The 14303-nt window shown below is 46.7% G+C and overlaps 1 protein-coding gene across 26 annotated transcripts in view, besides 2 other annotated features; it reads right to left on the reverse strand.

Moving 5' to 3' along the window:
- Positions 1 to 7189, reverse strand: part of MOK (MOK protein kinase) — a 90569-nt gene extending 83380 nt beyond the window's left edge. For all 26 annotated transcript variants that reach the window (XR_007064041.1, XR_007064040.1, XR_007064039.1 and 23 more), the window contains exon 1: positions 6987 to 7189. Coding sequence is in view for 14 of the 26 variants with exons in the window: in XM_047431647.1 (XP_047287603.1) it covers positions 6987 to 6993 (7 nt within the window). In the remaining 12 variants the exon portion in view is untranslated. The remainder of the gene's footprint in view (positions 1 to 6986) is intronic.
- Positions 7070 to 7592: an enhancer, noted in NCBI's record as "H3K27ac-H3K4me1 hESC enhancer chr14:102771382-102771904 (GRCh37/hg19 assembly coordinates)". NCBI's record gives its function as "activates a minimal SCP1, AML or CMV promoter by ChIP-STARR-seq in naive and primed H9 embryonic stem cells {active_cell/tissue: H9 hESC(naive and primed)}" and the evidence as "EXISTENCE:reporter gene assay evidence [ECO:0000049][PMID:30033119]".
- Positions 7359 to 7408: an enhancer, noted in NCBI's record as "active region_9067". NCBI's record gives its function as "activates an Ori minimal core promoter by ATAC-STARR-seq in GM12878 lymphoblastoid cells {active_cell/tissue: GM12878}" and the evidence as "EXISTENCE:reporter gene assay evidence [ECO:0000049][PMID:35858748]".

Raw genomic sequence — 14303 nt, forward strand, 5'->3', positions numbered from 1 at the left:
GCTGTGGGCTCCTGCGCAGCCCAAGCCTCCCCGAGGAGCACCGCCCCCTGCTCCAGGGTGCCCAGTCCCATCAACTGCCCAAGGGCTGAGGGGTGCAGGCACATGGTGTGGGACTGGCGGGCAGCTCCACCTGCAGCCCTGGTGTGGGATCCACTAGGTGAAGCCAGCTGGGCTCCTGAGTCTAGTGGGGACTTAGAGAACCTTTATGTCTAACTAAGGGATTGTAAATACACCAATCAGCACTCTGTGTCTAGCTCAAGGTTTGTAAATGCACCAATCAGCACTCTGTATCTAGCTAATCTGGTGGGGACTTGCAGAACCTTTATGTCTAGCTAAGGGATTGTAAATACACCAATCAGTACTCTGTGTCTAGCTCAAAGTTTGTAAACACACCAATCAGCACCCTGTATCTAGCTCACGGTTTGTAAATACACCAATCAGCACTCTGTATCTAGCTCAAAGTTTGTAAACACACCAATCAGCACCCTGTATCTAGCTCAAGGTTTGCAAATGCACCAATCAGTGCTCTGTGTCTAGCTGATCTCACGGGGACTTGGAGAACTTTTGTGTCTAGCTCAGGGATTGTAAACGCACCAATCAGCACCCTGTCAAAACGGACCAATCAGCTCTCTGTAAAACAGACCAATTGGCTCTCTGTAAAATGGACCAATCAGCAGGATGTGGGTGGTGCCAGATAAGAGAATAAAAGCAGGCTGCCCAAGCCAGCAGTGGCAACATGCTCCAGTCCCCTTCCACAATGTGGAAGCTTTGTTCTTTCACCCTTTAAAATAAATCTTGCTGCTACTCACTCTTTGGGTCCAGGCTGCTTTTATGAGCTGCAACACTCACTGCAAAGGTCTGTAGCTTCTCTCCTGAGGCCAGCAAGACCACGAACCCACCAGGAGGAATGAACAAGTCCAGATGCGCCGCCTTCAGAGCGATAACACTCACCGCGAAGGTCTGCAGCTTCACTCCTGAAGCCAGTGAGACCACGAACCCACCAGAAGGAAGAAACTCTCAACACATCTGAACTTCAGAAGGAACAAACTCCAGACACACTGCTTTTAAGAACTGTAACACTCACCGTGAGGGTCTGAGGTTTAGTTCTTGAAGTCAGTGAGACCAAGAACCCACCAACTGCGGACACACCAGCATTTAAGAAAGACAAATTACTTGACTCTTTCCATGGCGGAAAAAAAAAAAGACAGTTTAAACCTCATTGTAATTACAACAGATACTTTTAAAAATTCTCTCTGGGCCGGACGCAGTGGCTCACGCCTGTAATCCCAGCACTTTGGGAGGCCGAGGCGGGCAGATCACCTGAGGTCAGGAGTTCGAGACCAACCTGGCCAACATGGTGAAACCCCATCTTTACTAAAACTACAAAAATTAACCAGGTGTGGTGGTTTGCACCTATAAATCCCAGCTACTCGGGAGGCTGATGCATGAGAATTGCTTGAACCCTGGAGGCAGAGGTTGCAGCGAGCCAAGATCATACCACTGCACTCCAGCCTGGGCAACAGAGTGAGACTACCTACAAAAAAAAAAAGAAAAATTCTCTCTGATACAATAGCAAACTGTTACCGTCTTCAGAGTGTAACTTCTCTGGGTTTTTGTTTTATTTTTTTGAAACAGGGTCTTCCTTTGACATCCAGGCTGGAGAGCAGTGGTGTGATCCCAGCTCACTACAGCCTCAAACTCCTGGGTTCAAGCAATGCTCCTCCCTCAGCCTCCCGAGTACCTGAGACCACAGGCATGCACTGCCATGCTTGGCCAATTTTTAAATTTAGTAGAGACAGAGTCTCGTCATGTTGCCCAGGCTGGTCTCAGACTCCTGGATTTAAGCAATCTCTTGCCTCAGCCTCTCGAAGTGCTGGGTTTACAGACATGAGCCACCATGCCTGGCCACTTTTCTCTTTTTATAGGTATGTTTTGAATAATTCATTAAAAAGTTGAGACAGGACCAGGCACAGTGGCTCATGCCTATAATCCAGGAGTTCAAGACCGGCCTGGGCAATATAGGGAGACCCCCATCTCTAGTAAACAATTAAAAACTTAAGCCGGGGAGCCGGGCACAGTGGCTCATGCATATAATCCCAGCACTTTGGGAGGCCAAGGCGGGCAGATTGCCTGAGGTCAGGAGTTCGAGACCAGCCTGGCCAGCATGGTGAAACCCGATCTCTACTAAAAATACAAAACTTAGCCAGGTATGTTGGCAGGCACCTGTAATCCCAGCTATTTGGGAAGCTGAGGCAGAAGAATCACTTGAACCCGGGAGGTGGAGGTTGCAGTGAGCCGAGATCGCGCCATTGGACTCCAGCCTAGGCAACAGGGCAAAACTCTATCTCAAAAAAAAAAAAAAAAAAAAAAAGCCTGGGCTGGGCAACACAGCAAAACCCCATCTCCACCAAAAAAAAAAAAAAATTAGCTGGGCGAGGAGGCACATGCCTGTGGTCCTAACTACTCAGGAGGCTGAGGTGGGAGGATTGCCTGAGCCCAGGAGATGGAGGCTGTCGTGAGCTGTGGCTACACCACAGCACTCCAGCCTGGGCAACAGACTCTATCTCAAACAAAAAAGAAAGTTCAGACAGGAAAAAAGAGTGGTACTTTAACTAGACTAGATAAGGGGAAACTTTTCCAAGTCAGGATCTGACTGATGTTTTCATTCTTTCCCTTTTTATATCCCTGCCTTCCATCTGCTGAAATAGCAAATAATAATTCATTCACAATTTATCATGTATCAGACACTGTGCTATGAGCTTTATATAGATGATTTCACTTAATCTTTGAAACAATGCTATGTGATTGGTATTATCATCCCTGTTTAAAGATGAATGTGGGCTGGGCACACTGGCTCACACCTGTAATCTCAGCATTTTGGAAGGCCAAGGCAGGTGGATCACCTGAGGTCAGGAGTTCTTGACCAGCCTGAACAACATGGTGAAACCCCGTCTCTACTCAAAATATAAAAATTAGCCAGGTGTGGTGGTGCGCCTAAAATCCCAGCTACTCAGGAGGCTGAGACAGGAGAATCGCTTGAACCCAGGAGGCAGAGGTTGCAGTGAGCCAAGATTGTGCCACTGTACTCATTCCAGCCTGGCCAACAGAGTGAGACTCCATCTCAAAATAAAAAACAAACTTTTAAGATGACTTCAGCTCCAGCCACCATCTGAGTGCATGAGAGACTTCCAGTAAGACCTGCCTAGTTGAATCCAGGCAACCTGAAGAACCACAAGAAGGACTGTTGTTCCTTTAAGCCACAAAATTGAAGTGATCTGTTACGCAGCAATAGATAACCGGAACAATGAAGAAAAGCAGTATAAGAAAAAGTAACATGCCTGAAGCTGCCATGCCCACCCGGTTCCAAAGCCCACGCTCTTATCAACTGCACTGTGTCACTCTTTGCTCTCTACTGTTGCAAACGATGCCAAATAAAAAGAAGGACAGGAATACTCCACAGAATAACACACCCCTAAACACAGGGCATCACCTAGAAAACAAGTACAAAAATATACCTAGAAAATCCTGACAGACCCCTGTAATAATCTAGCATTCCCAGCCCCACTCTGACCCCAAGCTATGGATCCAATTTCACCATTACTCACTTTTCCTGATCATTCTACTTCTATAACTCTGTCTCTGTGATTTCCAGTTCTGGAATATTCTCTCCATTGTTAACTATTTTTAAATCATTTATTTAATGATCAGGATGTAAACCAGGGGGATAAAAGGTTACAATAATTCTTAGAGTACATTTTAAGGTAGAAGGAAGAAAGGGAGAATAAAGATGTCACCACTAAACCAAGTAACCGAAAACTACCAAAATGACCATCTAAAAGAACATACCAAACAATACTAAATATACTTTAAAAACAAAAGTTTACAAGAAGTAAATCATAAATGTACATTTTTTGTGTATTTTGTTTTGTTTTGATTTTTTTTTTCTTGTATTTTTTGGTTGAGATGGGGTTTCACCACATTGGCCAGGCTGGTCTCGAACTCCTGACCTCAAGTGATCAGCCAACCTCGGCGTCCCGAAGTGCTGGGATTACAGGCGTGAGCCACTGCACCCGCCCCATAAATGTAAATTTTATATGTATACACACATATACTTTTTTTTTTTTTTTTGCTCTGTTGCCCAGGCTGGAGTGCAGTAGTGCGATCTCAGCTCACTGCAACGCCCCCCTCCCAGGTTCAAGCGATTCCCCTGCCTCAGCCTCCCAAGTAGCTGGGATTACAGGCACCTGCCACCACGCCTGACTAATTTTTGTATTTTTAGTAGAGACGGGGTTTCACCATGTTGACCAGGCTGGTCTCGAACTCCTGACCTCAAGTGATCCACCCACCTCAGCCTCTCAAAGTGCTGGGATTACAGGCGTGAGCCACTGCACCCGGCCCACAAATGTAAATTTTATATATATATACGCATATATACATATTTATTTTCTTTTTTTTTGAGACGGAGTCTCTTGCTTTGTTGCCCAGGCTGCAGTACAGTGGCCCGATCTCAGCTCACTGCAAGCTCTGCCTCCCAGGTCCACGCCATTCTCCTGCCTCAGCCTCCCGAGTAGCTGGGACTACAGGTGCCCACCACCACGCCTGGCTAATTTTTTGTATTTTTAGTAGAGCCGGGGTTTCACCGTGTTAGCTGGGATGGTATTGATCTCCTGAACTCGTGATCTGCCCGCCTCGGCCTCCCAAAGTGTTGGCATTACAGGTGTGAGCCACTGCGCCCAGGCAGCATATGTACATATTTCTATATAGGTATACACATGCAGTGCTAACATTAGTCTTTTAAAAAGGGAGAAATACACATTTATATATTTATATATAATATATATAGAGAGAGTAAATTACTGAAAGTGATGCCTCTAGGTAGTGGGGTATGAAGAGTCTAAGAGGAAGGCCAGGCACAGTGGCTCGCGTCTGTAATTCCAACACTTTGGGAGGCTGAGGCGGGTGGATCGCTTGACGTCAGGAGTTTGAGACCAGCCTGGCCAACATGTTGAAACCCCGTCTCTACCAAAAAATACAAGTTAGCTGGGCGTGGTGGTGCACACCTGTAATCTCAGCTACTTGGGAGGCTGAGGTAGGAGAATCACTTGAACCCGGGAGGCAGAGGTTGCAGTGAGCCAAGATTGCACCACTGCACTCCAGCCAGGGTGACACAGAGAGACCCTGTCCAAAAAAAAAAAGAGTCTAAGAGAAAAAGAAGGTAGATAAATAAACCAAATGATCAAATCTAACTTCAGCAAAACTGCAACGAACTGACATCAGGCACTCTGGAAGGGCCACACTGACAGAGACACAACGTTGCCTCTCACATATTCCTGGTAAAAACATTTAAGCTGAAGCTAATCATGAGGCGAAAATCAGACAAATCCAAATTGAGCGATATTCTGCAAAACACTGGGCTGGATTCTTTAAAAATGTCATTTGGCCTACAGAGGACAGCCAAATAAAAATGAAAATATCATTGTCATGAAAGACACAAAAGGCAGGGACACCATATTAAAAGAGACCAAAGAGATATGACAACAGAATACAATTGGTGATTCTTGATTGGATAGAAAAAATATAAACAACTATAACACATGTTATTGGGATAAATGGAAAAACTGAAATATGGACTGTGTATCAGAGTATTGTATCATTGTTAAATTTTCTAAATGTGTTATTTGTACTGTGATGATGTAGGAGAATGTCCTTGTTCTTGGCAGATAACTGCTGAAAGAAGTGGTGAATTATTAGTAGTCTACAACTAACTCTTGAAAGGTCCAGTGAAAATAAATACATAAATGGGAGAGAGAAAACACCAGAGCGAAAGCGAGCACACAAAAATAAGGCAAAATGGTGCAGCTAAGTGAAGGACGGGTTTATAAATATTCAATGTACTGCTCTTGCAACTTTCCTGTACATCTGAAAATTTTCAAAACAAACAGATGGGAAGAAAAAAATGAATATAGTACAAAATATGTGCAGTATCATAGTCTGCACTGTAAGTAAAAGTGTAAAGTCTTTTGTAGACCTTGGATTCTAACTACAGCTTTGTAGTGCATTAATGAAAAAGGTAAACATTAAACAATATCCAACAAAATAAAATAAAAATAAAAATGCCTTGTAAAGGGTGAATGAGATTAATTATTTTAAATGTTATGCAATGTACACCATTGACAATTAGGATACAATGCAAATTTAACATTATAACTACTCCTAACATAATATTTTCACAGCAAAGGTCTGAATTTTTACTGCACCTCTGGTTCACAACCATAAACAATTATATCTGTACAGTAATAATAATTTTAAAAACATCATTCTAGCTGGTTGCACTTGGATTGTCAATAATCCACAAATCCCACTAAAGAAAATTTTTTACCCGTTACATTTTCTAGAATGACTACCTCATTTCCCAACTTTGAAGTAACAGCTTTTAACTAAAAGGTTGCTTCAAAACTACTATTAAAAAGTGGTTCCTATAAAACACTACTGCTTGACCCAAAAAATAAAATAAAGCACACAGCCCAGCTTTCCTCTCAATTGGTCACTAAACCAGTATCATGAAAAGGCAGGGAGCCACGCTGTAAGCGCTCCCCCGTTTTCTGCCGAATGTTCAGGAAAAGAGTGTCAGGTTCAAGCCAGCATTTAAAATAAAATAAAATGAATCACAGTCAACTCCCTAAACTCCAATGTAAGAACCACGCACCTGCACCAAAATATGCCTGAGCGGGAACTCGAGTCGGCTCTCCGAGACCCCAAAGTTCCCAACCTAGCCCCAACCCCTCAAGCTTCCCCCAGGGGCACCGGCTTCTCACAGCCGAGGGGGATTCGGGGCCCACATGCGGAGCCTCCCGGGCCTGTCGAGCCACGGCAGAAGGCGACGACGCCCGGCCCCACAGGCCCCTCAAGCTCCTCAAGCTCCCCCAGTCCCTCCCTCCCCCGCCACTCGCTCTCCAGTCCCTGCCCCTTTCCCCGGCCCCACTCACTCTTCATCTTGGATGCGGAAGCCGGTGACAACCCCTTGCCGACACTGGACGGAAAAGAAAGAAGCAGGAAGGTTGTCCCCCTGCTTTCCACTTCCCTGAGGCGGGGTCCCGCACTAGGATCTCCGTGGTGGTCCCTCGAAGGAGAGCGTTAGAGATCCCGCCGCCATGTTGTGTCCCTGTCACCCTAGCAACCGTCAGGCCCTGAACGCCATGAGCTGTCGCCTGCGCATGCGCAAGATGCCCCGCCCATGTACGCGTGCGCAGTGCAGCCCGTCCCCTCAGCCCGGTTGCTAAGCAGCCTTTCCTCCGCTTCCATGTAAATACTGTGCAAATCCCCGCCTTTGACACAGGCGACCTTCGCTCGGCTCGCTCTCCCTGCTGGCCTGGGAACTTAGCGATTTGGAACCCACTACGTGGACGATAGCCTTGAGCTTTAATTGGGCTTGGGAGCTTCTACAGGAATTTTTTTTTTTTTTTGAGACAGAGTGTCGCTCTGTTACCCAGGTTGGGGTGCAATGGCGTGATCTCGGCTCACTGCAACCTCCGCCTCCCGGCTTCAAGCGATTCTCCTGCCTCAGCCTCCCAAGTAGCTGGGATTACAGGCACCCACCACTACACCCGGCTAATGTTTTTGTATTTTTAGTAGAGACGGGGTTTCACCATGTTAGGCTGGTCTCGAACTCCTGACCTCAGGTGATCCGCCTGCCTCGGCCTCCCGAAGTGCTGGGATTACAGGCGTGAGCCACCACGCCCGGCCCAGTTTTTCTTTTTAATTCAACAAGCATTTGTTTTTGCCCCAGGAACTGTCGCAGGTATTGGGGATTAAAGGACAGTGTAGACGAGGTGACTGAGTTCTTGAAACTAACATTCTAGTGTAAAGATGAATGAATGTACACCGGAATGAACTATGTGCAGACACGGTGCCTAAGCAACACAGTGGCCTAGTTCTCTGGACCCTGACAAAACAATAAAATAACAAGCATACTATGTATGGGTATAGTATTTTATGAAGCTCATTAGATTAGCCTCATAATTATTCCATGAGATCAAAACCCTGTTTTTTCCTCCATTTTTTTTCTTTTACTAAAATACATCGTTTATTTTTAAAACAGATAAGTAGCCTTGCCAAAACGAAGCCTCAGAAAATTGGTTTAAGACTGAATTGGCCAGGTGTGGTGGCTCACACCTGTAATCCCAGCACTTTGGAAGGCCGAGGCAAGAGGATCGCTTGAGGCCAGAAATTCAAGACCAGCCTGGGCAACATAGAGAAACCCCACTTCCCTCTTAAAAAAAAAAAAAAAAAAACTCCGGGCGTGGTGGCTCACGCCTGTAATCCCAGCACTTTGGGAGGCCAAGGCGGGCAGATCACGAGGTCAGGAAATCGAGACCATCCTGGCTAACACGGTGAAACCCCATCTCTACTAAAAATACAAAAAAAATTAGCCGGGCGTAGTGGCGGGCGCTATAGTTCCAGCTACTCCGGGGGCTGAGGCAGGAGAATGGCGTGAACCCTGGAGGCGGAGCTTGCAGTGAGCCGAGATTGCACCACCTGCACTGCAGCCTGGGCGACAGAGCAAGAGACTCAAAAAAAAAAAAAAAAAAAAAAAAAAGCCGGGCACGGTGGCACATGCCTGTAAACCCAGCTATTCAGGAGAATAAGGCGGAGGTATCTTGAGACCAGGAGTTCTAGGCTCAGTGAGCTATGATAGCACCACTGCACTCTAGCCTGGGTGACAAAGCAAGACCTTGTCTCGAAAGAAAGAGAAAGCGGCCGGTCGCGGTGGCTCACACCTGCAATCCCAGCACGTTGGGCGGCCGAGGCAGGCAGATCACTTGAGTCCAGGAGTTCGAGACCAGCCTGGCCAACATGGGGGAAACCCCGTCTCTACTAAAAAAATACAAAACGGCTGGGCACAGTGGCTGATGCCTGTAATCCCAGCACTTTGGGAGGCCAAGGCGGGTGGATCCCCAGGTCAGGAGTTCAAGACTAGCCTGGCCAAGATGGTGAAACCCCATCTCTACTGAAAATAGAAAAATGAGCCGGGTGTGGTGGCAGGCACCTGTAATCCCAGCTACTCGGGAGGCTGAGGCAGAGAATTGCTTGAACCCGGGAGGCGGAGGTTGCAGTGAGCCGAGATTGCGCCACTGCACTCCAGCCTGGGCGACAGAGTGAGACTCCGTCTAAAAAAGCAAATACATAAATAAAATACAAAACAAGCCAGGCGTGGTGGCTCACACCTATAATCCCAGCACTTTGGGAGGCCGAGGAGGATGGACCAACTGAGGTCAGGAATTCGAGACCAGCTGGCCAACCAACATGGTGAAACCCTGTCACTACTAAAAATACAAAAATTAGCCAGGTGTGGTGATGCGCTCCTGTAATCCCAGCTACTCAGGAGGCTGAGGCGGGAGAATCACTTGAACCCAGGAGGTGGAGGCTACAGTGAGTCGAGATCCTGCCACTACACTCCAGTCTGGGCGACAGAGCAAGACTCCATCTCAAAAAATAATAAATAAATAAATGGTTACAATGGTGAATTTTATGTAAATTTTCTCTCAATAAAAAAGTTGAAAAAATAAATAGCGATTATTGCTGGTGTATTATTGTTGGTGGTGCTATCTTTGTTGGCTTTGAGAAGCCACATCTAATCTCTCCAGACCACTAGGATTTGATCTATCCCTTCTTCTCTTCTTGTGTTCTTTCTTATTTGGGGGCTTGCCCTTATGTCACATTTATATTTCTAACCCTGTCTCTTGCTTGTTAGTTTCTTCTAACCAGGTGGGTTCTAAGTTCCTTGGGCCCCTCATGTGTCTTTTCTCTACCCTGCAGGGCAGAGTGTATTAAATAAGTGAACAGGTGAATGCATTTAGCAAGTGAGAGCCCCATTGTTTCCCAATTCACCAGGTGCTGATGGATTTTCTTCTTCCCTTCATTGTGGACAAGTGGTTCTCAGAAGTGACGTTGTAGAGACCATGTTGGTCCTGATTGGGCAGATGATTTAGAGCAAGGTGCCCCCAGGGGGTAGACACAGTCTATGTGCTTACCTAGGTGAACAGGGGCAGCTGGACTTGCGGCCTCACCTGCCCCTCTGGCTGAGCACCCTTGTTCCAAGTTCATCTTAAGGTTGGGTGAGGGGACGAACTCCAGAATGTTCCATTCGATCAGGGATTTCCGCCCCATTATTTCTAAATCTGTAAGTCTGGAGTGGGGGATAGTTTGCAGCTCTCACAAAATTCCAGGTGATGCTGCACCAGTGGCCATATTTTGAAAACCACTGGCCTAGAGAATTCCTTATTCTTTCTTTAATTCTAAATGAAATAGGAAATGCTGCTTTGAAAAGAAGGAACAATTGCTGAGGAGCTTCTCTTCCTGTGGTAAACACGCTCAAACATCAGCGGAGGGGTCAACCTGTTCAGGCTTCAGCTGGGTGGCCTCAGCACCTGCCTAGCTGGGCCACTCCAGCCCTGAATGGACAGATAAGTAAGAAGTACCAGGCTGTGAACTCCTCCAGAGAGGGTCTTCACCCCAAGCCTCTCACCTGCCCAGCTCACCCAGAGCCAGGAGCCTGCTCAGCACATATTACATGCTCAGGAAACGCTTGTGAAATGGAACCACCACGCATCTCAGAGCTCTGCTTTTTTTTTTTATTAAGTTATTATTTTTAAATTTTTTTTTTTGAGACAGAGTCTTGCTCTGTCACGCAGGCTGGAGTACTGTGGCTTGATCTCGGCTCACTACAACCTCTGCCTCCCAGGTTCAAGCAATTCTCCTGTCTCAGCCTCCCAAGTAGCTGGGACTACAGGCACGTGCCACCACACCTGGCTAATTTTTGTATTTTTAGTAGAGATGGGGTTTCACCATATTGGTCAGGCTGGTCTCGAACTCCTGACCTCAGGTGATTCACCTGCCTCAGCCTCCCAAAGTGCTGGGATTACAGGCGTTAGCCACCGCGCCCAGTTCCAGAGCTCCGCTTTTAAAACTGTATGAACACTACCTAATTATAACCACTTGAGCTTTTTGAATCGTTCTAAAACTCCCTCAGACTGTTCATCCCATATTCTAGCATTAGTTTTTCCCTATTTGCCAATGTCAAGGGATTCAGCCATGTGGCTATGTTTAGCAGACAACCTATTTCCTTCTGCTGAGCATCTGAATTAAGGTTCAAACCAGGAAACAAGTCAGAAAAGCTAGGGATGACAGACATTTCAAACGTGTTAACACTGTTAAAGTGGGTAAAACGCAAATCTACCTAAAGATATTAGAAATTAGATTGATTTTGTAAAATAATAAACACATCTCAGGGAAAACTAAGCTTGAACAAGGATATTAAATAAGGAGGAGCAAAAACATTAGCCACTGAAATTAACATGAAGGATGGTAGTTAACCAAGCACTCTAGAAATTAGATCCTGGTCTAGTGTGGATGCAAAAATAGGTAAAATTCTGTCTACGAAGAAGTCTGTGTAGGTTTCTGAGAAAAAGGAACTCAAAGAAATACATTTAGAATTTTTTAAGTGTAAGAAAAGGTTTCCTGGCCAGGAATAGTGGCTCACACCTGTAATCCCAGCACTTTAGGAGGCCGAGGCAAGCGGATGGCTTGAGCTCAGGGGTTCGAGACCAGCCGAGGCAACATGGTGAAACCCCTTATCTACTAAAAATACAAAAAATTAGCTGGGCTTGGTGGCAGGTGCCTGCAGTCCCAGCTACTCAGAAGCCTAAAGTGGGAGAATCACCTGAGCCTGGGAAATCGAGGCTGCAATAAGCCATGTTTGCACCACTGACCTCCAGCCTGGGCAACAGGAGAGAGCCGTTGTCTCAAAAAATAACAATAATAATACAAAAAATACAAAAATTGGCCAGGCGCGGTGGCTCATGCCTGTAATCCCAGCACTTTGGGAGGCTGAGGCCGGCAGATCACAAGGTCAGGAGTTCAAGACCAGCCTGGCCAAGATGGTGAAACCCTGTCTCTACTAAAACTATAAAAAAATTAGCCAGGCGTGGTGGTGGGCACCTGTAATCCTGGCTACTCTGAGGCAGAGAATTGCTTGAACCCGGGAGGCGGAGGTTGCAGTGAGCCAAGATGGCACCACTGCACTCCAGCCTGGGCAACAGAGGGAGACACCGTCTCAAAAAAAAAAAAAAAAATGCAAAACTTAACTGGGCATGGTGGTGCATGCCTGTAGTCCCAGCTGCTCAGGAGGCTGAGGTGGGAGGACCATTTAAGCCTGGGAGGCAGAGGCTGCAGGAAACCGAGATGGTGACACTGCACTTCAGCCTGGGCGACAGAGCCAGACCCTTCCTTAAAAAAAAAAAAGAAAAGAAAAGAAGAAAAAAAAGGAAAGAAAACAAAAGAAGGCTGGGCGCGGTGGGTCACACCTGTAATCCCAGCACTTTGGGAGGCCAAGGAGGGCGGATCACCCGAGGTCGGGAATGCAACACCAGCCTGACCAACATGGAAAAACCTCGTCTCTACTAAAAATACAAACTTAACCGGGCATGGCGGCACATGCGTGTAATCCCAGCTACTCAGGAGGCTGAGGCAGGAGAATGGCTTGAACCCAGGAGGTGGAAGTTGCAGTGAGCCGAGATTACGCCATTGCACTCCAGCCTAGGCAACAAAAGCGACACTCCGTCTCAAAAAAAAAAAAAAGAAGAAAAAGAAAAAGGCTCACTGGATCGTTCACCTCCCGGGTTCAAGCCATTCTTTGCCTCAGCCTCCGGAGTAGCTGGGATTACAGGCGCCCACCACCACACCCAGCTAATTTTTGTATTTTTAGTAGAGACAGGGGTTTCACTGTGTTGGTCAGGTGGAGTCTTGAACTCCTGACCTTGTGATCTGCCCGCCTCTGCCTCCCAAAGTGCTGGGATTACAGGCATGAGCCACAGCACCTGGCCTTAAAATTCAGCTCTTAAAGTGGTAGGAGAGAGACTCATACTATGTAACTCCTGCCAAGTTGTAGTACTGCTGTTTTCTTGTTTTTGTAAAGCAGGGATAAAAATATCCACTGCAGACTGGGTGCAGTGGCTCACGTCTGTAATCCCAGCACTCTGGGAGGCTGAGGTGGGTGGATTGCCTGAGGTTCAAGAATGGCTTGAACCTGGGAGGTGGAGGTTCCGGTGAGCCTTTTTCTTTCTTTTTTTTTTTTTTTTTGAGACGGAGTTTTTTCAGACGAAGTTCAAGACCAGCCTGGCCAACATGGTGAAACACTGTCTCTACTAAAAATATAAAAATCAGCCGGGCATGCATGGTGGTGGGCGCCTGTAATCCTAGCTACTTGGGAGGCTGAGGCAGGAGAATCATTCAAACCCAGGAGGCGGAGGTTGCAGTGAGCCGAGATCACACCACTGCACTCCAGCCTGGGCAACAGAGCAAGACTTTGTCTCAAAAAAAAAAAAAAAAATACCCACTACAAAAGGTAGTAGAAGGCCGGGCATGGTGGCTCAAGCCTGTAATCCCAGCACTTTTGGAGACCGAGGCTGGTGGATCACCTGAGGTCAGGAGTTCGAGACCAGCCTGGCCAACAAGGTGAAACCCCATCTCCACTAAAAATACACAAAAAAACTAGCTGGGCATGGTGGCACACATTTGTATTCCCAGCTACTTGAGAGGCTGAGGCAAGTGAATCGCTTGAATCCCGGAGGCAGAGATTGCAGTGAGCCAAGATCGTGCTATGGCATTCGAGCCTGGGCAACAAGAGTGAAACTTGGTCACTAAAAAAAAAAAAAAAGGTAAAAGGTAGTAGAAGATTAAATGAGATGTCCACGTGTCCATGATGAATACTCTACAAATGCTCATTGATTTTTACTCAAAGTCTAACACAGGGCCTGGCAGAGCAGGTGCTCAATAAATACTTGTTGGGGCCAGGTACAGGGGCTCACGCCTGCAAACCCAGCACTTTGGGAGGCCAAGGCTGGAGGATCACCTGAGGTCGGGAGTTTGACACCAGCCTGACCAACACGGAGAAACCCCATTTCTACTAAAAATACAAAATTAGCCGGGCGTGGTGGCACATGCCTGTAATTCCAGCTATTCGGGAGGCTGAGGCAGGAGAATCTCTTGAACCCGGGAGGTGGAGGTTGCAGTGAACTGAGATTGTGCCATTGCACTCCAGCCCGGGCAACAGGAGGGAAACTCTGTCTCAATACATACATACATACATACATACATACATACATACATACATACATACTTGTTGGATAATCAAGAAGCAATGCCACCTGCCACTTGTCACCTGCTCTGTCATTCCTTTCTGGCAGGGGCAAGCCCAATTTTAAATGACTATTGAGGATCCAGGACAACCTTTAACTCTTGATAAA

Source organism: Homo sapiens, chromosome 14 (assembly GCF_000001405.40).
Source record: "Homo sapiens chromosome 14, GRCh38.p14 Primary Assembly".
In the NCBI taxonomy this organism is placed as follows: Eukaryota; Metazoa; Chordata; class Mammalia; order Primates; family Hominidae; genus Homo; species Homo sapiens.